The sequence below is a fragment of the Homo sapiens genome, chromosome 11, assembly GCF_000001405.40.
Source record: "Homo sapiens chromosome 11, GRCh38.p14 Primary Assembly".
NCBI classification, from domain to species: Eukaryota; Metazoa; Chordata; class Mammalia; order Primates; family Hominidae; genus Homo; species Homo sapiens.
The window spans coordinates 60,396,109-60,420,109 of record NC_000011.10 but is presented as its reverse complement, the minus strand read 5'-3'; the positions used below and the strand labels follow the sequence as shown (position 1 = coordinate 60,420,109).

Here is a 24,001-nt window from a genome sequence, read left to right as displayed (position 1 = left end):
TCTCTGCATCTAGCCAGTGCATGAGGGAAAAAAATATTGTAGATATAATGTTGGTGATTTTAGGAGTCAAACTTTACATTCCATTGGCAATAGTTACCATCTCACCTACCTAGATGCAAGGTGGCTGGGAAGTATAATTTAGCTGTAGGTTGTTGATTCTAGTAAATGAAAATGCAATTGTAAGCAGCCAGCTTATTTTTTTTTCCACAGTTCTTGGGAACTGAGTGTGTAAGGTAGCAGTATCTCAAATCAACTTTTCCCAATTTTACTACAAAGAAGCCTGACATATTCTAGGAAACACATATTATATTTGTAATAAGACAGTTTTTAATAAAAAAATTAGGTTGCCTTTAAGCAAATCATAAATTTTCTAGTTTCCCACAGCCTTTTGCATTTTGTCTTTTAAACAGATACTTCAAACATTATTTTTCCTTATGGGTCTTAAACACATTTGATTTTGTCAACTTCAGACCCAAACTCATTGATAGGACAGTATTAGGTGTCTCAGAAAGGGGAGGTCAAGGGAAAATGCCTTCAAGAAACAGAGAGAAAAGAGAGTCTTCTGTAGACTAGAAAGGTTACTATGGGTTCTGGGGGCCTTGGGAGCTTCTGACTTGCCCCTTAGCATCTCCCTCAGTGGGATGGAAAGGCCTCAGAAGAAGTGGTTTTTTACATTCTTCCATTCTCATATTGTAAGTCTAACCTATAGGCGTTGTATTCTTGCAATTTTGGAAAAATTTCCATGTTCCAAATGTAGCATAGAAGCAACAAGTTCACAGGACACATACGGTATATTTGAACTTGGCCTATAAGTTTCTCAGTGGTAACTGGTGTGGACTAGTCGCTGATGATGGAAATTGCCTCTCCAGTGACTTGGCACTATTTAAGATTCCAGGATCTTTGTACATTTCTGCAGAAATGTATTTGTGTATGTTGGGTAGATATAGGGATGAACTGGCAAGAGTAACTGTGTGGGCTGGATTCTCAAAGAATTTGATACAAAATTGTGTGTGTGTGTGTATATATATATATATATATACACTCTCTCTCTCTCTCTCTATATATATATATATACATACATATATATATATATATATATACATACATATATATATATATATATATATATATATATATACTTCCTAAACACCCAAGTTTGTAGACTGAAAGTTAAACTCTACATAAGCACTGTAGAAACGTGCTAATCTAGCTAAAGGAAAAGGTAGAAATTATTAGTATTATTCAGAGTAAGTTAAATACCAGGTGGTGGTCATTCAGGAACTAAAGGCTAACTCAGGTAAGGACTCTATCAAGGTCAAGCAATCATGTGAAGCTCAGGAAGCTAATATTTTACTACAAAGGCACAGGCAGCAAGGAACATGTAGCCAGTCATAAGGAGCTCTGTATCTTATTATACTACTACATATAACTTCTCTGTTCACCTCTAAGTAGAGACTCCAAGCTCCCATTTATGCCCTTAAAAATGTTTTATTGAATGTATTCTTGAATCAAGCCTTTGTGCTGAAATTCTGTAGAAGACACAAATATGACACAGTCTGGATTATTCACAAGAAGGTGAGAGAACTGTAATAGTGAATTGTCATTACAAAAAATGAATAAAGTTGGGGAGAGATCCCTAGAAATACCTATTATAGAATTTTTGAAACAGGAAGTGCAAAACACAGAAGTTAATGGGGGTGATAAAAATTGAAAGAAAAGGGATTGTTAACCTTTCCAAATGTATCAGAGATAAAGGGAAAGAGGATTGAAAAAACACGATTAGGCTTGGAAGATTGAGGTAACTGATAGCTTTTGATAACACAATTTCCTTTGATGACAGAGGATGAAATTATGTATCATAAGGGTTGAGAAATTATAATCAGTAAATGCAGGCATAAAGAAGGGAGCTGAAGCTTCACTGAATACAATACAGTATGTCATATTTTCTATTATGACATCTGCATCTCTGTTCTTCCCTAATTTCTACTTTCCTGTCTCTAGATATCTCTTAATCCCTCCCACTCCATCATCACATTCTGTATTCATTGCCACATTCTACCTCATTAATAATTGAGCAAACTCAGTCCATATATCCTCAACATAAATATGAGGAGGGAGAGTAAATAAGAGGATTGGAAACAGCAAGACAGGGAAATGGGAGAAATTTTTGTTCCTTGCTGACTCTTTTGGTTCTTGAACCCTTAGAGAGCCTTCATAGACTTCCCTGTGGTTGATTTTCTGAACTCCTATAATGCCAAAAGGGGGAGATGAAAAATACTAGCATCATACCAAAGTAGGGCCATTAAACATTAAGTTATAAAATGAAATCGTGATTATAAACTGAAACACTAACTTTGATGACAAGGAATATACATGTGAATTATTTCTTCACATACATAAAGTGATGATACAGTGTTAACATTTGGTTTGTTGTCATTTTATTTTAAGTAAGAACAAATTGTTTGAGTGCTCAGCATGCCCTTCATTTTTTTGTAAGTTAATGAGGTGGCAACCACAGTTGAGAACACAGATTGGAGGAGGCAATATTGTTTTTCCCAATTTAATTCCATTAATGGGGGCAGTGTGGTATTGGGTAGATTCTGCATGTTAGTCAGAGTCTTCAGATTGCTGTTGATCTTTTGGATCACATGAAGTAGAAGTTAAATTCACATCTTCTTTATATGAATTTGAGGAAGCTGAAGTGTCTGGTTGCACATCTTGTTCTGAATCTAGATTGGACAAATAGGCTAAACATGTGTCTTGTACTGAGCTTTGGCCAGAAGAAGAATGAAAATCTGCCTTCACGTCTTCTGATTGCAGGTCCCCTGAGGTTTGCCCTATACATTTCATGTCCCCTGGTTTGATGTCTCTAGTGTACATATCTCCTTTTTGTGTAACTCTGGATTGAAGGTCTTGTTGGTCTTTATCTTGAGTGTCTTGACATTCTAGGTTATGTTGGGCTGTTGCGTGCTGGGTTTGGACTTCTTGGTATAGAGCTTTCTGCTTTAGGGCTTCTTTCTCTAATAGATCCTGTGTTTGCCAGTGCTTCATTTCAAATTGCCATTCTCGTGCTTTATAATCTTTGTTTCTCCAGCCCTGAGTTATCCAGTCAGGGGATTCTTGGCCAAAAGATTGACAGTCCTGGGTTGTCCAGCCTGGAGATTGCCTTTGTGGAATTGCCAGAATTGGTATTGCTGTATTTGGGATTCTGAATCTTGGCATAACAGTTTTGGCACTTTCTCCACCTGAGCTTGCTGTCCTTCGGCTTGAACATTTTGGAATTGTCCTTTCGGGGATTTCTTCTCTTGGGCCGGCTGGTCTTCAGTTTGCTGATCCTGGGTTTGCTTCTTTGAGTTTTGCTCCTTATCAGTCTGCTGGTCTTTAACTTGTCCATCTTTAGATTGTCCTTCTGGGTATTGTTCCCCTTTGGCTTGCTGATCTTCAGCTTGCTGATCTGGGAGTTGCTCTTTAGTTTGATTAAGTTGAGCTTGCTTATCTACGGAGTGCCTCTTTGGGGATAGCCAGTCTTTGATTTGCTGGTCTAAGGATTTCTGCTTTGGAGATTGCCAGCCTTTGCTTTGCTGATCTAAGGAATGCCTCTTTGAGGATTTCTGGCCTTTGGCTTGCACGTCTAAAGAATGTCTCCTTAAGTATTGCAAGGCTTTGGTTTGCTGGTTTAAGGAATGCCGTCTTGAGGATTTTCTTCTATGGAGTTCCTCCTCAGATTTCCATTCTTTGGTCTCTTCCATAACTTCTGATCTAATATCTTGATATGACATTTGTAAAATTTGCTGGTTTTGAGGTTCAGTGTTTTCTGGTTGAAGATCTGGGGGCTGCTGAAGTAGGTGTTGTATTTCAGGGAACTGCACAATATGGGATGTTGAGGCTTCAGGTAATATGGCATGCGCTGATAGAGCTTGGGATAGCATATCTTGGGAAGGTATGTCTTGAGGTGGCATGGCGTGGGATGGTGTGTCTTGAGATAGCATATCTAGGGATTGCATATCTTGGGATGTCATGTCATGAAACAGCATATCTTGAGATGATGTGTCTTGGGATAGTATGCCTTGAGGGGGCAGGTCATTAGCTGTCAGATTAGAAGACTGTTTGACATGGGATGATGTAGACTTAGATGGCATGGTTTGTTCTGACAGGCCTTCTACTGGTAGAGCTTGGGATGGCAAGTCTTCAGGTGATATATCTTCGAGTTTTAGTGCAGAATGGGATGGAAAAACTTGGAGTGACGCAGCTTGGTCCTGCAGAAGCTTGGTTTGCATTTGAGAAGGTTGTACAATAGCAGATTGTAGATCTTCATCTTTCATTTGTTTAAATGTAGAGTCTAGCTGAATGGACATATTTTCTGAGGGCTTTTTCTCTAGTGTGGGAGGCAAAGGTTCAATTTCTTCCTCTGAAAATTTGGGAGATGGAAGGATACTTTGCTTTTGTTCATCTGGCACAAATTCTCTACCTTTATTACCTGGTTGGGAGACTAAAGGACTCCTAGAGAGTGTTAACTTGAAGAAAGCATAGCCTCCAAAGATAACAGATTGTGCATTTGTTGTTGAATCATCACTGGAAAACTCTTCTTGAAGCACAAATTGTAATTGATCATTTTCTTCTGGGGCAGGTTGTTCACTATTTTGAGTAACATCCGAAGGCAAGAAAAACAGAACCTATAAAAGCAAGGATGAGGGTAATTAATATGACAGAATCATGTCTGATTTTTTTTTTGTTTTCCAAGTTACTTTTCATTTCTGACTTAAGACAGTAGATAGGAAATAACATCTAAATGAGAAGGCAGAAAACGAATGCCAGTCCTGCCTTTACCATTAACTTATTGGTATTATTTTAGAAGTCATCACCTTTTAGTCTTTCAAATATTGAACAGAGGAATTTGATTAAGATTGCCTCAAAAATTCCTCCCATACTTAATATTATAAAGCTTCTGAGACATTTTATATCATCTAGTCAATATTCATATATTCATGCTTAATCTATAATAGTTTATTGATCACCCAGATGAACTAAATGCTGGGAATCAAAGACAATTAGATGTGGGATTTTCCCTTAAGGTGCTCACAACTATCTGTACATCAACATATAAATAGATAATAGTAATACAATTCAGCAAATGCAATTACATAAATAGGTACTTAGTGCTTTATGGGAACATAGAAGATGACCTAATTCTGAGACAACCTGGAAATGCTTTACAGAAGAGGCAATATTTAATCTATATCTTAACAGCTGAGTAGGAATTACTCAGGCATAGACGGTAAGATGAAATAAGACAGGAGTCAGAATCCAGGTAGAAGCAGCAGTGGAATAGCGGGTACAAAAACACAAGGTTGTGATATAGCATGGTGTGATGGCAGATGGTAAGCAGTTAGATATTACTGATATTATTAGATGGTATGCTAGGCTAGGAAATTTGGACTTTCCTTTACAAATAAGAGGAAGCAATTGGAGTTTTTTAAACAGCTAAGTGACCACATCTGATACAACCTGCAATGCTTCCCATTAGTTCTCATTTTATTATTATAATTTTTAGGAGGTTGTTACTGCAGCACAACCTGCTGCTTTTTATTCTGACTCCATGAATTACACCTTTCTGAGATAATTCATAGTCAGAATAGACTACTTGTTCTATTTGATGAAGTGGATCAGAACTCAGTGATTAAATGAATTAATTATGCTTACCTCGTTTGCTAATAGCAGGCCTAGATTGAGAATCTACACATTCTCTGAAATAATACATTGCATTTCCCATTCTTCTAATTAGTTTTTCACACCTATATTTTATCCCTATTGAAGGACTATTTATGTGAGTATAAATGGTACTTTGGAAGAGATTTCTATATTTCTAAGAATCCTCAAACTTTGTTTCATGTGAATTTTAATTTATTCTTCCACTTAAAAAGAGGTTTGGAAGAAATAATTATAGTTTCTCTGTTTATTAAAGCTCTTAAGTGCTATGATTTTAAATTTCCTCATCCATTAATGAGAACTCAGTGATTACCAGATGCTAGACAATGTTCCAAAGTCATCACAAAAATTGGTATGACATCCCTATGAAGTTATTATCCTTCTTTTAGAATTGAGGGAATTGAGGTTCAGAGATGTTAAATAACCAGACCAGTATCGTAGAGCTGTTTACTTGGGAAGGATTTAAAAATTGTAGTTGAATCTGAGGTCCTGTGCTTTCCTCTCTGATCTATGCTTCTTGTATTAATAACGTCACCTACTTCCTACTTCAGGGTGGCTAAGACTAAAGACCAAATGAAATAATACTTTCAAGCACAGAAACTGGCACAGAGAAATTTCTCCGTAAATGTAGAGTTCACTTTCCCTTTCCTTTTCTTGAGATCAAGGTACATATTTTATTATTTTTGAATCCCCTGTTGTACTTTGCACATTACTGTGCCATTAGTGGATTAAAGATCTGTATTCACTAAATTCAATTGAAGAGTTATTTAGTGTAACTTATTTTAGTATTGTTTCTAAAGGGCTTAAAACAGGGTTTGTACTCTCCTCTAGTTGTGTAATATACAGATAATACGATAAAGATGAAAGCATGAGATGAAAAATGACAAAAGCCAATACCCATTCATGATTTTAAAAAATCTGCGCAACAGGGTAAATTTACTCTGTAAAAAACCTACAAAAAACATCATATTTAAGGGTAAAATATTGAACATTTTCACCCTAAGATCAAGAACAAGGAAAGATTGCTATTTTCATCACTTATTTTAAACATTGTATTGGAGACTACACAGTGTAATAGGGCAAGAAAAATGAGGCATAAAGTTTGGGAGTAAAAATGTCTTTATTAATACTTAAAATGGTTATCTACTAAGAAAATTCTAGAAACTCTATTAAAAAAAAGCTATGGGAACTAATAAGTTAGTTTAGAAAGGTCATAGTAGACCAGTATATAAAAATAAATTGCATTTCTATATGTGGGAATGAACATTTAAAAAATAAAATTAAAAATACCATGTACAATATCAAGAAAAAATGAAATAATTACAGATACATTTAACAAAGTATGCATAAGGCTTATACATTGTAAATAATAAAATAGTGCTGAGAGAAATGAAATGAGATGTAAGAAAATACAGACATGTTTCATGGACATGGATCAGAAGACTACATATTACTAAGAAGTAAATTGTTTATAAATTATCTATAGGCTCAGTACAATTCCAACCAAAATCCCAGCAAGATTTTTGTAGCAATCAATAAACGAATTCTAAAACTTATGTGGAAATTCATATGACCTAGAACAGCCAAAACAATTTTGAAAAATAACAAAGTTGGAAGATTTATACTATCTGATTTCAAGAATTACTCTAGCATAATTTTAGTGGGGCAGAAGAGAAATCTCCATAGAGAATTGAAAAACAATAGAGAAAATCAATGAACCCAAATGTTGATTCTTTTAAAAGATCAACAAAATTGATAAACCTTTACCTATACTGAAAAGCAAAAAGACAATAAAACAATTAAAACAAGACATAAAAGTAAGACATTATTACTGACCTTATAGAGAGTAAAAGTATAAAGTATTGTAAAAGAATACTATAAAAACTTATATGCCAAGAAATCAGATACTGTATAAGAAATGGGCAAATTCCTTGCAACACACAAATTACCTAAAATGATTCAAGAAGAAATAGAAAATCTTTACAGATCCATAACAAGTAAAAAGATTCGTAATCTAAAAGTTCCTAACAAAGGAAACTTCTGGATCAGATGGCTTCACCAGTGAATTCTACCAAAATTTAAAGAAAAAAAAAAAACAATTATTCTCAAACTCTTCTGAAAACTTGAAGAGAAGGGAAAATTGCCTAACTCATTCTATGAGGCCACCATTACCTTGATACCAAAAACAGATAATTATGCTGCAAGAAAAGAAAATTACAGATTAATATCCTTTATAAGTGTAGATACAAAAATTGCCAACAAAATATTAGAAAAGGATTATTCATATGATGAAGTGAAATTGATAAGCAAAATACAAGGATGGTACAATAAGAAAATCAATAAATGTAATACATTACATTAATATAATGTTGGAAAACCCCCACACAGTCATCTCACTTGGAGTAGAAAAGGCATTTGATGAAATGCCTTTCATGAGAAAACCTCTCATAAAACTAGGAAGAGATGGAAAATTCCTCAATATGTAAAGTTTATTTATAAAACACCCACAGCTAATATCATACTCAGTGGTGAAAGATTAAAAGCTTTCCCCCTAAGATCAGGAACTATATAAGAATGCTTTCTTTCACTGCTGCTATTAAATATTGTACTAAAAGTTCTAGCTAGAGCTATTAGAAAATAAAAAGAAATAAAATTCATCCAAATTAGAAAAGAGGAGATTAAGGCCATCTGTATTTCCAGATGACATGATCTTCCTATATAGAAAATCCTCCCAAATCCACAGGAAAGCTACTAGACCTAATACAGGATTGCAACAAGGTTCAAGATACAAGAGCAACCCACAAAAAATCATTGTTGTTTCTGTATAACAGCAATAAACAATATGAAAATAACATTTAAAAAGCAATTTCATTTATAATGCCACCTAAAATAATTACATACTTTAGAATAAATCTAACCAATGGGATGAAAGACCTCTATGCTAAAAAATATAAATCATTGCTGAATGTAATTGGAGACCTAAATAAATGAAAAGACATCTTGTGTTCACGTATAAGAAGATTTAAAATTGTTAAGATGTCAGTGCTGCTCAAAGCAATATACAGATTCAATACAATTTCTATCAAAATTCCAACAGTCTTTTTCTTATAAATGGAAAAATGGATCCTCAAGTTCATATTGAATTTTAAGAGGCCCTGAATAGCCAAAACAATAATGAAAAAGAATAATACAGTTTGAGTGATTATACTTTCCAACTTTGAAACGTACTGTAAAGCTACACTAATTAAAACAATACAGGGCCGGGCACAGTGGCTCATGCCTGTAATCCTAGCACTTTGGGAGGCCGAGGCGGGTGGATCACCTGAGGTCAGGAGCTCGAGATGAGCCTGGCCAATGTGGTGAAACCTCGTCTCTACTAAAAATACAAAAATTAGCCTGGCATGGTGGCATGCGCCTATAGTCCCAGCTACTTAGGAGGCCGAGGCAGAAGAATTGCTTGAACCCGGGAGGCAGAGTTTGCAGTGAGCTGAGATCTCACCACTGCACTCCAGCCTGGGTGACAGAGCAAGACTCCATCAAAACAAAAAACAAAAAACAAACAAAAAAAAAAACCCAAAAAATATGGTACCTGGCATAAGGGAAGATATATAGACCAATGGAATCATTCAGAAATAAATGCTCACTTATATCACATATATAGTAAATCAATTTTCAACATAGACACCAAGAATATTCAATGGGGAAAGGAATTTTTTCAACATATGATGCTGGAATAACTGGGCATCCACATGTGAAAGAATAGAGTTGGACCCTTACCTTATACCATATACAAACATTAACTCAAAATCAATCCGACACTAAGCCTAAGAGCTAAAACCATACATTTCATGGAAAAAAGTTGGAAGATATCTTCATGACAATTTGGCAATAATTTCATGGATGTGACAAGAAAGGCACAGAAAACAACAAAATAATAGATTAATTATACTTCATAAAGAACTTTTGTGCATCAAAAGTCATCAAGAAAGTGCAAAGACAACCTACAGAATAGGAGAAAATATTTGCAAATCATATGTCTACTGAGGGACTAAGATCCAGAATATATAAAGAACTCTACAATTCAACAACAAAAAACAAACAGCCCAATTAAGAAACAGGCAAGACTATAACAGTTATTTCTCCAAAGAAGATGTATACATGGATGCTCAACATCAAATCATTAGGTAAAAGCAAATCAAAAGTATGAGATACCACTTCACACCCATTAAGATGGCCATTATATAAGGCTGGGTGTGGTGACTCATGCCTTTAATCCCAGCAGTTTGGAAGGCCAAGGTGGAAGGATGGCTTAAAGGCAGGAGTTCAAGACCAGCCCTGACAGCATAGCAAGACCTTGTCTCTACAAAAATAAAAATAAAAATAAAAATTTATGTGGGTGTGGTGGCACATGCCTTTCATCCCAGGTACTCAGGAGACTGAAACAGGAGAATCATTTAAGCCCAGGAGTTTGAGGCTGCAGTGAGCTATGATCTTGTGCCACTGTAGCCTAAGTGACATATGATCTTGTGCCACTGTAGCCTAAGTGACATAGTCTTTGTATAAAAATTAAAGAAAGAAAGAAAAAGAAAGAAAGAAAGAAGGAAAGAAGGAAAGAAAGAAAGAAAAAAGATGGCCATGATAAAAACAAATATGATCCAGAAATCCCATTACAGGGTATATATTCAAAGGAAATGAAGACAGTTGGAGAAACATCTGTACTCCCATATTTACTGCAGTGCTATTCACAAGAGCCAAGATAAGGAATCAACCTAAATGCCTATCTACACATAAATGAATAAAGAAAATGTAATATATATATATATAAAATATACATTATATATTACATATATATAATGTACACACACACACAAACAATAGAATACTATTCAGCCATAAAACAGAATGTAATTCTGTCATTTGTGGCAACATGCATTAACCTGGAGGACATTATATTAAGTGAAATAAGCCAGGCTGAGAAAGACAAACACTGCATGATCTCACACACATTTGGAATCTAAAAAAGTTGACTTCATGGAAGTGAAGACTAGAATAGTGGTTACCAGAGGCTAGGGAAGGTAGGGAGGATGGGAGGACCGGGAAGGATTGGTCAATGGGTATAAAATTCTAGACAGGAAGAGTAAGTTCTTACTTACTATAGATAGTAAGAATAAGTTCTATACTTAGTAGCATGACTATAGCAAATTACAACGTAGTGTATATTTCCAGGTGACTAGAAGAGAAAATTTGGAATGTCATCACTACAAAGAAATGATGTTTAAAGTGATGAATGTGGTAATTACCATGATTTGATCATTAGAAAATGTAACATGCATTGAAGCATCACACTGTACCCCATAAATATGTACAATTATGTGTCAATCATAAATTGAAAATTAAAAATAAATGGAAAATAATTACTCCCCCTTTTCCCCTGTTGGTTGGTATTGATGGAGATGTGGAGAAATTGGAATCCTTGTACACTGCTAGTGGAAATGTAAGATGGTGCAACGAAGGTGAAAAACAATTTGGCATTTTCTCAAAACATTAAACACAGAACTCCATATAAGCCAGCAATTTCGCTCTTAGGTATGTATCCAAAAGAATTGAAAACAGGGACTTGAGCAGATATTTTTACACCAATGTTCGTAACAGCATTATTCACAATATGCAAAAGGCAGAAATATCTGTGTCCATCAACAAATTAATGGCTAAGCAAAATATGGTATATACACAAAATGGAATTTTATTTAGTCATAGAAGGAATGAAATTTTGATATATGCTACAACATGGATTAATCTTGAAAATATTATGCTTACTCAAATAAGCCAGTTAGAGAAGGACAAATATTGTAAGATTCCACTTATATGAGGTCTCTAGAAAAGGCAAATTCATAATATAGAAAGTAGGATAGAGGGTACCAGGGGCAATCAGGAGGGGAATCGGGGAGTGATTGTTTTGTGGTACAGAGTTTGTGTTGGGGATGATGAAAAATTTTGGGGCATAGATAGTGGTGAGAGTTACACAACATTATTAATGTATTCAATGATTTGAACAAATGACTAAAATGATAACTATTATGTTATATATATTTCACCACAATGCAAAAGAATTACTCTAAAGACACAGAAATGAAGAGAGTGTAGAATACGTGGAAGGATAGACGTAGTGGCCAGAGGGAAAAAGTATCCAAAAGAGACCTACAAATAAATAATAAGTAAATTGATTTTCAACAAAAATACCAAGGTGATGGAGGAAAGCATTGCATTTTCAACAAATGGCGTTAACAACTGGATATCTCCATGAGGGGGGATGTGCATTAACTTCTAACCTTACCCTACAACTGTACATGAAAGTTAAGATAGACCATACATCTAAACACAAAAGCTAAAATTATAAAACTTCTGTAGGAAAAGATAGAAGAAAACCTTCATGATTTGGGGGTAGGGAAAACCTGTTAAACAGAACACAAAAACCATAACCATAAAAGCAAAAATGATAAATGGAACTTCATCAAATTTGTTTTTTTCAAAGAAGCTATTAAGAAAATGAAAAGGCAAGTCACAGTGTGAAAAAATATTTGTAAAGGATTTGTATTAAGAATTAATTAGGCTGCTATAAGGCCAATAAGAAGATAATCCAATAAAATTCAGCTAAATATTTGAACAGACATCTCAAAAGAAGATACACAAATGGATAATAAACATATAGCAAGAGTGTCATCATCATTAGTCATTAGGGAAATGTAAATTAAAACTACAATGAGGTGCCACTACATACCCACTAAAATAGCTAAATTATTAATAAACTGACAGTTTCAAGTGTTAATGATATGGAGCAACTGTCCCTCTCACACATTGTTGATGAGAATGAAAAGCAATACAGCCACTTTGACAAACTGTTTGGTATTTTCTTATAAAGTTAAACATCTGGTTACCATACGATCTCGCAATCAAATCCTAGATGCAACACTCCAGGAGAAGTGAAAATATGTCCACACAAATATATGAACTCAAATATTCTTAGTAACTTATGATAATAGTTCAGAACTTTAAACAATCTAAATACCCATCAAAAGGTAAATGGACTGGGCGCAGTGGCGCACACCTGTAATCCCAGAACTTTGGAAGGTCATGGTGGGTGTATCACTTGAGCCAAGGAGTTTGAGAGCAGCCTGGGCAACGTGGCAAAACCCTATTTCTACAAAAAAAATACAAAAAAAATTTAGCTGGGGGTGGTGGCGCATGCTTGCAGTCCCAGCTATTTGGGAGGCTGAGGTGGAAAGGTTGCTTGAGTCCAGGAGATTGAGGCTGCAGTGAGCCGAGACAGTGCCACTGCATTCCAGCCTGGGTCATAGAGTGAGGTCTCGACTCAAAAAAAAAAAAAAAAAAAAAAAAAAGGTAAATTGATAAACAAATTGTGGTGTACCCATACATAAAGGGAATGAATTCTTGATAGAGGCAACAGCATGGATGACTCTCAAAAACATATTTCTGTGTGGAAGAAGCCATATAAGCCATATACAGAGAGTACTTACTTATGATTCCATGAATATGAAATTTTGGAAAGTCAAAACCAATCTAGGTGATGAGAACATTGACTACAAAGGGGTTCCAGTGAACCTTCCGGGATGCTAGGAATGCACTATACCTTGATTGTGATGGTAGCTAAACATAGGTACATTTTGTTGTTTATAAATGATACTTCTATAAAGTTGATGTAAAAAAAAGAGAGAGCTAGAGAGAGAAATGAAATCTCCATAAATCACAAGGCCTGTACTGGTATTTGGGACTTAGTGAGCAGGCTCTGGAGACATATCACAGGGGTCAGAATCCTGATGTTATGTGGTACTGGAGAGGTTAGTTTAGCCTCTTTGTGCCTTACTTCCTTCATATGTAAAATAAAGATGTTATAATAGTTTTGTTAAGATTAAGTTGGTGCTCAGTGATTATAACAGTGACTGACATAGTCAGAATTCAGTAAATATAATCTATAACAATTATTATAAATACTATGTAGTATCAGTAGTAACAGCTTTTTTTCCTATTTCTTTTGTGGTGGTGGAACTGTGTCACACATCTTATGATCCAAGAATATACACCCCATGTCACAGTAATTTGGGTTCCTGTTAAGTCTGATATTACATATTTTTGGCAGAGACATAAGGAGCTATGTCTTAACAGAGATGACTGAGTATAAAGCAGATAGTACAAGAAAGGAAAGCATAGTTGTTTCAGATGGTGGGGTGAGCTTCAATCTTAAGCTTGCCCCTCTCTGACCTTCCTAAATTTAGATGTTTTATTTCAGCATCTGAGCATGCTGCTTTTCCTACTAATAAATCAGACATCATTGTGTGCAGTATCCCAACAGGAACAGGAACCTGTTCTCTTAATAATATTAAGAGACATCAGAACACACCTCATCTGACTGTGTCCAGCACTTGCTTCTAAAGGATGCAATAGTCACAGAGATGCTGAGCTCTGCTATGCTGATGATCAGTAAGATTAACAAAATTCCCTGCAAATAATGAGGAGAAATAAATGGTATTTGAAATGAGAGCTGTTATTTTAAATATATAAGCTGAGAACCCCTTACACTCTATCACCAAGTATGGGAAACCCATATTTTGGATGGTTCTGTAGCCATCAGACACTGCACAATTTTCATCTTGTGTCTTTCTGATGAGGCAGGGATAACAAACTCCAATGTCCATGGGAGCTGGGCAGTCATTGTGAACTAAACAGGGAAAGAGTAGAGAGTAATAGTATTCATAGGAGGCATCCATTACTCAATTCCAGCCAATTGCTGTCATGTGGGAACATGGATACCATAATGCCTATTTTGTTTGTTTTTCCCTAAAGAGCCAGATAGAACATATATACAGGCTGGATATAGCCCACAGATTGCCATTTTGCCCATTTTGCTTTAAGGTAATGTTTATATTGAGAAGTAACATGGTACCTTATGGTGTCTCAAAAGTTTAAACTATGAAGACAGAAAGACCTGAGTTACAGTGAGTCCAAGGTTGGCCGGGCGCGGTGGCTCACGCCTGTAATCCCAGCACTTTGGGAGGCCAAGGCAGGAGGATTAACTGAGGTTGGGAGTTTGCGACCAGCCTGACCAACATGGAGAAACCCCGTCTCTACTAAAAATACAAAATTAGCTGGGCCTGGTGGTGCATGCCTGTAATCCCAGCTACTCGGGAGGCTGAGGCAGGAGAATTGCTTGAACCTAGGAGGCGGAGGTTGTGGTGAGCCGAGATTGTGCCATTGCACTCCAAACCTGGGCAACAAGAGCAAAACTCCATCTCAAAAAAAAAAAAAAGTGGGTCCAAAGTCCCACTTAACCTTGAACAAATAACTGTGTGTTTCTGAATCTTGGTTTCCCTGCAATACACCCAAAATCTTAAATATTCAATATTTGTTGGTAAAACTGAAATGTATGAAGACCCTATTGTATGCAATTTACTGACTTTCTCCATTGAACAAGATATACCTGGTCTTGGATTTTGTAGAACTTACATCATGGTAAGGGAGGCAGACAATAACAAGTAATTAGATAATTATTTACCTAACTAAATTGTGATAAATGCTGTGAAGAAGGATTGGGAGCTATGCGCTACTCTAATGGGGGATCTATGCAGATATGAGCATAGAGGTGAGGTCAGGAAGAACTTCCTTAAAGAAGTGGTATTTCAGTTGAGATTTAAGTATGAGGATGAGTTAATTGTATAACTGGCCTGGTGACGGTTCAAAGCCGGAAGAAGCTGATCCTCTGATCATCTTGGGGCCGTGGATACTTGACACATTAAGGGATTATAGGAAGTGGCTGGAGTGTGGAGGAGTGAGAAGGATGAAGTCCTGGAATAATGTTGGAAAGATAGGTAGGATAGGTGTTACAGGGTTTGGTAAGGCTGTTAAGATTTGGGTCTTAATCATCATACGTTTTACAGGAAGCCATTAAGTAATGGCTCAGATTTACATTTTTAAATGATTACTCTAGCCACAGTATAGACAATAGATTGGTCTTTAGGACAGGGGTCAGCCCAAGAGACATCTAAAGCCCACTGTTCTGGCTCTTTTAGCTTATGATGTTTGGGTTACAGCAAGAAATTGTTAAGTTATGTAAGTGAGAACTAGGAAGAGATTGTTCATGGTTCTGTATGCAGGTAACTAATCTTGCAATACCCATCCATGGACAGCAGGAAATACGGAATTTCATATATCTGGAGATTTAACCCTTTCGGGTATATACAAGTTCTTCCTCGTATATACGAACATAACAAACAGTAGTTGCCTCCTGTCCATTCAGCAATGGCCAAGAATTATAATGTTGTATCATGTTCTTGGCCCAGTTAGGACAGGGTTTTATCGCTTATGTTGTTTTCTGGCTTTCTTTAGTAATCTATCATGAGTCTAATTTTAGAATTTATCTCAGAACACATGAGAGAGTCCCTGGGACCATTTCACTGAGTGATTGTGAGGATTAAATTACCTCTTGTATTCAGGAACTAACTTCTCATTTCTTATTTACTGAGGAAGACCATTTTCTGTGATTCCACTTTATTTCCCTTCTAACGGATTCAAATATTCTTCAAATTATAGAACCCATGCTTCAAGATATAGCTGGTAGGAATAAAATAAAACCCCAGGACTTGCTTAGGGAACTAGAGAGAAAGGCCTATTGGAGTCACTGACATGCTTAAAAATAATGTCACTGATTACTTGTTAGATAAATACTTTAAATTGCACAGACAACTACATTTCCTGGTAAAAGATCTCTCATCTGCTTTAATGAATAAAATTGCCACAATTATGTGAAATAATGTATGTCTTAAGCTTATAAAAATCCTTATTTTTTTAAATGACTTCTAAATACCTTCCCCCACTGTATTTTGATCTCAGTGTTATTGAGCAAACTTTTAGATCATTTTGTTCATTAATGCTGAAACAGTAAAATTTAATTCAATCTATGGCCATAATAATTGTATTAGCTAAACCTACTGACTATTTAACTGTGCAAGGTACTGTTTTAATTTAAGCAATCCTCACAACAACCCATGAGGTAAGCATTCTCATTATGTTCATTTTCCACTTGAGGAAAACCGAAGCTTAGAGAGAATACAATATTAGGCCAAGGTGACAAGCTTGTGTGAACAGGATTCAAGTCCAGAAAATATCGCTCCTTAACCATTGTAACAGTAACCCCATGGTACCCTTCTCAACCGTCAGTTCAAATGCTGACACAACTTCATTTAATAAAATAAAAATCAGTGAATCATTACATCATGGACACAGTTCAGAGAAGATTTTAGGGATTCTTCATGCAAAATAAGACCACTTACAATGAAAAGAGTTCTACTGAAAACACATATTTCTTCAAAGGATGGCATCTGGCAGTACTTGTCTTGATGTCTGTAGCTGAGAATGGTGAAAGTAATCCCAGTTATCGCAACCAAGGAGCTGATAACATTCATGCCCGTGACACCTTGACCCTGAAAGATAGTTTAAAAATGATAAAATAAATAAGATCGAAACCAAAGCAAAAATATCTTGTAAGAAATTTTTAGTGCTTTTATCTTTCCAGATACTTCTCAGGGAAGAGTTGTTCCATCAGGTCAGTATGATTGGAAGGCTTAATAAACTAAATTCTAACTCATTAAAGTCAGAAGACAAACCAAGTTTTAGAATGGGCTAAGGATGCTCTATGGCTAATGCTAAAGAAAATGTTCATTTTATCCCATTTTATCTCATTTTATCACCACCATCTTTCATAATCTGGAAGCAGTACAATGTGTTAGCAAATATCTTTGCTTGGAAATGAAACCTCATTTCAAGTCCAAGTTTCACTAGGACCTTAGGCAAGTAACCTAATCTCCTGGAATCTCAATTTCTGCCTTTAAAAATGTGAATGTGTCACCTAACTTTTAGGGTAGTATCCATTTATTCATTTATTTCATAAATATTTAATGTGCACCAGATACATGTGAGTACTGCATTAGGCCCTGGAGAAACAAAAATGAACAAAAGAGGTGACATCCTGCAATCATGTGGTTTACAGTCATTCCCTGGGAGAATTCAAGCAATAATCAACAGAATCGTTAACATTTAAAGATGTTAACCTATTTGGACTGGAGTTTAAAGGTGTTTTTTCTTGAACTCATTGTTGCAATAAAAATATTTCACACTGCCCCACCCAATTCCCTTTATTCATTCTTATTTTTTTGGAGGGGGGTGTGGGTGGGTGGGGTAGGTATATCCGAGTTCCTTTACAGGAAGGGGGTCATCTGATTTCTTCCTTCTTACCCACTCCCAGGACTGATATCACTCTTTTAAAGGAAAAACAAAGAAAAGCTTCACATTTCCATTCATCAGGTATTTGCTGTACCTTTATTGATTGTGTTATGACTACCGTGGTGGAAAATACAATGATGCCTTTACACAGCCAGTCCTTTCTGGAAGTTTGTGGCTTGGTGTGGCAAACCTCAGAAGTGTACTTGTGACTTAATGTTTACCTCAATCCCAGGTTTTTATTGCAAATAGGCACTTTGGCAGAAAATGCACAGGAACATATAGATAGGCCATCTCTCTCTTGGTCTTTAGTCCCCTTGTTTTCTCAAGGCTCTATTTTGGCTCCCATAGGACATTTTATAGACTAAGATCTCTAGATAATCAATCCCTCATGTGTATTGGGCTTTACAAAGAACATGCCCAGCCTAGTCTCTTCTGATTCTCATTATACTTTTGTGCTGTAGGAAGGACACTTGTTGTTATCCACATTTTACAGATAAATGGAATTAAGGAAGTAAGTGACTGTGAGCAATCACTTTCACGGTTTGTGGAAGGGCTGTGATGAAAAGCCAGGTCTTCTGATGCCTGGTTCAGCATCCTGCCTCCATCATTCCTGCACACCTCCATCTGCATAGCTCTCAGTGAGTCAGGAGTAGGTTTTCCTTACCCATAGTTTATTTCTCAGCTCTGGAAGGAAGTCAATACAGGGAGAACAGCATTTGGGGCTTCATCTGCATTGTCTGCATGTATTTCCATAAGCAGGGATGGAAACATTTATCTGCCCTCCCCTCAGAATGTCTCTATGCCTTGTAACTATCCCTAGAGGAAACTGGCAGAGGACCATAAGAACAGAGTTCAACTGACTTTCAGAGAGGCCCACATCCCCAGGACCTTAAACAAGATCAGAGTGGTTAGAAAGGAGTATGAACATTTAAGCATCATCTTGCCTTTTATCAGTAATGTCTCATTAAACTCTCAAAATAACCCTTAGAAGTAGGCACTTTTCCCTTCAGGTTAACACAGAAGTGAGTGATAGCCTTGGTTCAATCCTAGAACAATCCAGCATTGATGCCCAAACTCTTTCTTCCAGACCTTGGGCAGGATCTAAAGAAAAGCCTCGGTTGGTATTGGAGATAGGGCTAGGATTGGGAGGAAGAATTAGTGAGAGCTTAGGATTGGTTTTGGTTAGAGCAAGGTTTCTCAACCTTGGTACTATAAACATTTTTTGTTGGATAATTTTTGTGTTGGGGGGAGGCTGCCTTGTGCATTTTAGATGCTTAGAAATGTCCCTGGCCTCTACTCACTTGTTGCCAATAACACCAGTTGTAATGACCAAAAATGTCTTCAGATGTTGTCCAATATTTCTGGGTCCTGGGGGGTGCAGGGCAGGGAATTACCCCTAATTACAAACAATGAATTACAGGGATGCAGAATGGTTTCCAATAAACAACTCTTTTAGTTTACTTGACCAGGGAAATGGGAACAAGTGTAAGAATGTCTGTCAGGCAAACAGTGGCACTGGCAAATAGGAATGATCTGAACTGCAACTTTGATGCATACAGATTTTCCTGAAAGGTAACTTTATTACTAAAGGCTTCATACATAAAGATGATATAAAACAAATAGAAGATTTTAAATTTTATGTAGTTTAAGTGGCTTACCAGAAGTTTTGATTTCTTATCGGTTACTGTGAGGTATCCTGTAAGAATAAACTGTTAAGAAGACAAGAGACAAAAGTTAACAGGTGATGTGTTTGACCACCTTGCAGTATAATTTCCCTTGGATTTGCAAAATATCTGTTTGTGAATCTCCAAGACCATCCCGTTTTTCCACCTGAGCATCAGGGAGTAGGGAAGGTAGGCGTAGGTAGGGTAGGAAGAAACTTTGTGCTGGATTTGCTCAGCACTGAACAAGCGCTCTCTGCCAGGGCCAACTGGGACAGGCAGGCTCCTCTAAGATCCAGAGGACCAGATGTTTGATCCGGCTGGGGCTCCAAAAAGAGATTCCTGAGCTCTGGGCCTTGAAGAGAAGAGGAGGAGCTGTGCCTGTTCTGAGCAGGTGAAGGGAGACTTTCTCAAGGAAGACCCCTCTAAAGGCTGATATGGGGACTGATATCTAGTGTAGTTATCAGAGTCCCTCATTTCCCATGATCGTAGAGCCTAGTACCACCTCAGGAAAATGAGAACTCTGTCACTCCATGTGGAGTCCCTTACTTTTTTAATGTTCTGGGGATGGGAACCTTCTCTGTGGGAACTGGCCTTGGACCTTGGGGACATCTGGGTCTTAGAGTCCAAGGATCTGCAGCTGACTTGCAGAGATCAGAAAGTTACCTTTGATACCTCCCTCCGCTTCACTCCCCACATTGGATTGCCAAGTCCTGTCACTTCTACCTCCGAGTCACTCTCAAGGCTCTCCATCTCTAGCTCCATTGCCACCAAGCTAGTTCGGGAAACTCTTTCCTCATCTGTGTGTTTGTAGCCTCCTCTCATTGGATTCTCCTAGGTTTACTGTTATAATTGAATTAATTTCTCACTCTAAAAACACAATGATACTTCAACAAGTCTTCAAGTGTCACTATCCTCTTTAAAAACGTTCAGTGGCTTTCCCATGCTTTCACATTGAAGTTCCATTTTCTTAACATGACTATAGGGGTTGGCACGACCTGGTTACACCCTACCTTTATAGCCTCATTTTATGCCATCACGATAGATTCATTGGTCTTCTTTTGGTTACTCTTTCCCACATCAAGCCCTTGGCTCATGCTTTATCTTTGCCAGGGATGCTTTCCTTCCACTTCGCCTAGTGAGCAGCTACGCAGAAAGCACTTGCCTGACCTCCATGGTCAGGTGAGTCCTCTATTAAACCCTCACATCGCACCTGGAACTCTCCTCTTAGAGCACTTAGCACAAGTGTAGGAACAAATATTTGGGGTTACTTTTGACTTTTTCATGTCTAGTCTCCCAGTTAGATGACAAACTGTCTAAATCTAAGAACAATTCACCACTTCTCTCAGAGAGGAGCTGTTTTCCAGTATTCTCAGTCTCAGCACCTAGGATGCCATTGAAGACGCGGTATGTGCTCAGTAAATATCTTTTAAGTGAAAAGTAGAGTTTTCAAAAGCAGCATGCCAGAATCTCATTTTAATTCACACATGCAGAGTACACAAAGTCACACTGGGACAATTCTGTTGTGAAATGAGAAAGTGAGGGGTTGGTCTGTTTGATTTTCTACAGTATGGCATGTATAGTTTGAAAATCATATTGAATATTACATTATTTATATTGGGAAAATGAAAACACTGCTGGTTGTTTCTGAAATGCACATTATAGAAAAGGCATGGAGTATTTCTGTTTATCAAAAGAGACTGTGGATTTTTAATAGTCAGAGATAGTGGCCTAATTTATTAATTATTTCACCTATTTGTTGATTGATTGATTGATTGATTCATTCGTTCGTTCATGCACACTATGCCTCAAGCATGATTCTAGGTTCTCAGAATATAACAACTAAAACAGACAGTAACACTGCTGTCTTCTCAGGAGTGTATGTTATAGTAGGAGAAGCTCTAATGAGTCTGTCCTTAAATATTATGGCACAAAATTAGGAATCCAGGCTGTGGGGATTGGATAGAAATAGCACTGTATTAAGAATAATATTTATGGCTATATGATTATCTAGATGAGTGCCACTCATAAAGTTGTCTCTGGGGCTAAGAAGGAGGATGAGTGATAATAATTTTAAAATTCTTTTTAAGCTTTCAGAGTCTGTGATTCCATGAGTGCTAGCTAGGCTAGATATGTTTAAGTTATTCTCTACTTTTGAGCTCAGTTTCCTTATTTGCAAAGGAATAAGTAGGATATTTGTGCATCTAGTCTCCCAGGTTGGTATTGAGGAGCAAATGTCTTACTATACACACAAGGGCTTTGGAAACAAATTTTAAGCACCTGAGAGTAGTTATTACAATGATGATGGTAGTGCAGTGACCAAATGGAGTTGCTTCTTTTGCCGTGAAGGGAGCTGCCTTTTTTGGTCTCCTGGAGGGCCATATTTATGGAATTCATTACCCTAGGACGTGAAGCAGTTCAAATCTATCTTTATAGCAATTTCTCCAAAGCTTCTAATCGACAGTACTCACAATAAGTGCTCCCCAGAATGGATATCCTGTGAGGACAACAAGGGGAAGTCTTTGGGAGAAACCGATGTAATTAAGTGCAAATATAGTTCCAAAGCCCACAATGATTAGAGCAAGCAGGATCTGGGTAGCCTGTGAGGAGAGAAATGGGTACATGAGGTTACAAGTATCCAAGACCCTGTGGGCTACCCCACGTCCCTCAGGGTGTGCCTCCATGGCACACCTTTCCCTCCATCCAAATGCCTTCCTCTCTCATTTGTCAATCATTCTCAGATTGTTAAGAGACTCAGTTCAATGTGTTTCCTTCCCACTTTGCTTGCCTGGATCCTTCAGGTTCAAATCCTTCACTTTTATTCTTTATTATTTTCTATCTTCCCTGGTGTTACCAATTAATCTTATATCAGACAGATTTGAGTACATGTCTGACTACCCCCAGATTATAAGCTTCTTGAGCACAGGGACTATAAACTATTCACCTTTACATTTGTTTTTTCGTCTGTCTCACCAGTATCCTATTATTATCCTAACAGCCCCCACCCCCACATTTTCCAGCACTCAGTATAGGCTTTTGGAATTGGGGCTCATCCCAGTTGTCTAAAAATTTAAAAAGTTTGATGACATAGAGTGGAGAACCTGGGATGAGCTTGCATTTCACCTCCCCTTCATCCATGGACCCAACTAGGGATGAGAATAGCCCAGTGGGCCTATCAGCTTGTAGGAATCTGCAGGGAAAAGAATAGCAGCAGTGGTTCTCAGGGCGCAACTTCTCTGGCAGTCTAGATTTTGTCCCCAGGCCACATCTCTGGGCTGTGGCACACCAAGTAATGATTTTTGCTGTTGTACAAAGGATGGAGGCTGTGCATACAGCTCTCCCCTGGGTGCATTTGTGATGAAAAACGTTTTGCATGCCTTATCATTTGGTTCACTGTGGAGCTTTGAATATGGGTTTTGAAGCACTCCCAATTCCTTTAAGAGCATGAAGGGGAAGTCAAACCTCTCCACTTATGGTTTCTTAGCTTCAAGGGAGGTGCCACCACACCCTGAAGTCACTTCCTCAATGAGATATTTTAAAAAGTTATACTAGTTTCTTGCTTCCCCCTCTGCTGGGATTCAAAGATCAGTACTAATTTCTCATGTAAGGTGAAGGGGGAAAAGTAGAATTAACTCCCTCCCTGAAAATAATCTCTGCATATCTCTGCAGACATACATGAATAAATAAACTTCTTTTCTCCCCTTCTGGAAGACCTATTGACTGGAGAGGACTTACCCCCAAGACTCTTGGCTCTCCCTTCAGAAAATCCAGCAGAGAGCTATGAGGTCTGTAGGGAAATGCAGTCAATACAGTTTCGTTTGGTTTTATAGTGATGACGTGAGTTGCCCTTCTGTCCTGGGATGTTGACTCCATGATTCTATGGCAGAACTCTAGTAAGGGAAAGAGTGAGCAAACATTGCCGCCCAAATCATGATCTACCTCTCCACCAGAGTCACATGGAGCCCTCAGAGATGAGCCCTTAGTGATGACTCTACTCAGTAGTAGAATCTCAGAATCATAGTTGAGTCACAGAGTTTTAGAATTCTAGAGCATGCTCAGCCCCCCATCTTCCTGGTGAAAAGTACTGTATCCAGAAGACTTACTCTCTTGTCAATTTGCTTACAAACATATGGTAAACAAAGAATAGATGGTATATACGAAACAAGTCCTTACACATATGTTCATGAGTTATAAAGGAACTAAAACTTATGGAATATTCCTTATGTTCTGGGAACTGTGTAGAAGGTGTTGACATGCACTAACATTTATTCTTTTAACAGTTCTACAATACTGAAACTGAGGAACAGCAAGGTTATGTCACCCAAAGACATACAGGACAGGGA

The 24,001-nt window shown here is 37.3% G+C and overlaps 1 protein-coding gene across 8 annotated transcripts; it reads right to left on the bottom strand.

Annotated features, from left to right (window-relative positions):
- Positions 1-2,353: 2,353 nt before the first annotated feature.
- On the bottom strand, positions 2,354-23,651 carry MS4A14 (membrane spanning 4-domains A14). Of its 8 annotated transcripts, NR_049734.2 has the most exons (7): positions 23,394-23,651; positions 22,130-22,258; positions 19,656-19,706; positions 17,049-17,198; positions 15,444-15,564; positions 14,123-14,221; positions 2,354-4,673 (listed from the first exon to the last, which is right to left on the bottom strand). NR_049734.2 is itself a non-coding variant. In NM_001261828.2 (6 exons), the coding sequence occupies exons 1-6, from the start codon at positions 23,529-23,531 to the stop codon at positions 3,102-3,104; spliced, it is 2,139 nt and encodes a 712-aa protein (NP_001248757.1). In that variant the 5' UTR covers positions 23,532-23,651; the 3' UTR covers positions 2,354-3,101. The 8 variants fall into 8 exon arrangements, 4 of the variants coding, with proteins under 4 accessions (NP_001248757.1, NP_115986.3, NP_001248756.1 ...); NR_049732.2 differs by lacking the exon at positions 14,123-14,221; NR_049731.2 differs by lacking the exon at positions 19,656-19,706.
- Positions 23,652-24,001: the final 350 nt, after the last annotated feature.

Excerpts from the sequence above, each read along its gene's own strand:
- MS4A14 (NM_001261828.2), bottom strand. The coding sequence starts at position 23,531 with ATGGAGTCAACATCCCAGGACAGAAGGGCAACTCACGTCATCACTATA. Across the intron at positions 17,199-19,655 it reads ATAAGAAATCAAAACTTCTG|GGTCAAGGTGTCACGGGCAT; the intron begins GTAAGCCACTTA and ends ACTATCTTTCAG. Across the intron at positions 4,674-14,122 it reads GCTGGACACAGTCAGATGAG|GTTCTGTTTTTCTTGCCTTC; the intron begins GTGTGTTCTGAT and ends TTGCTTTTATAG.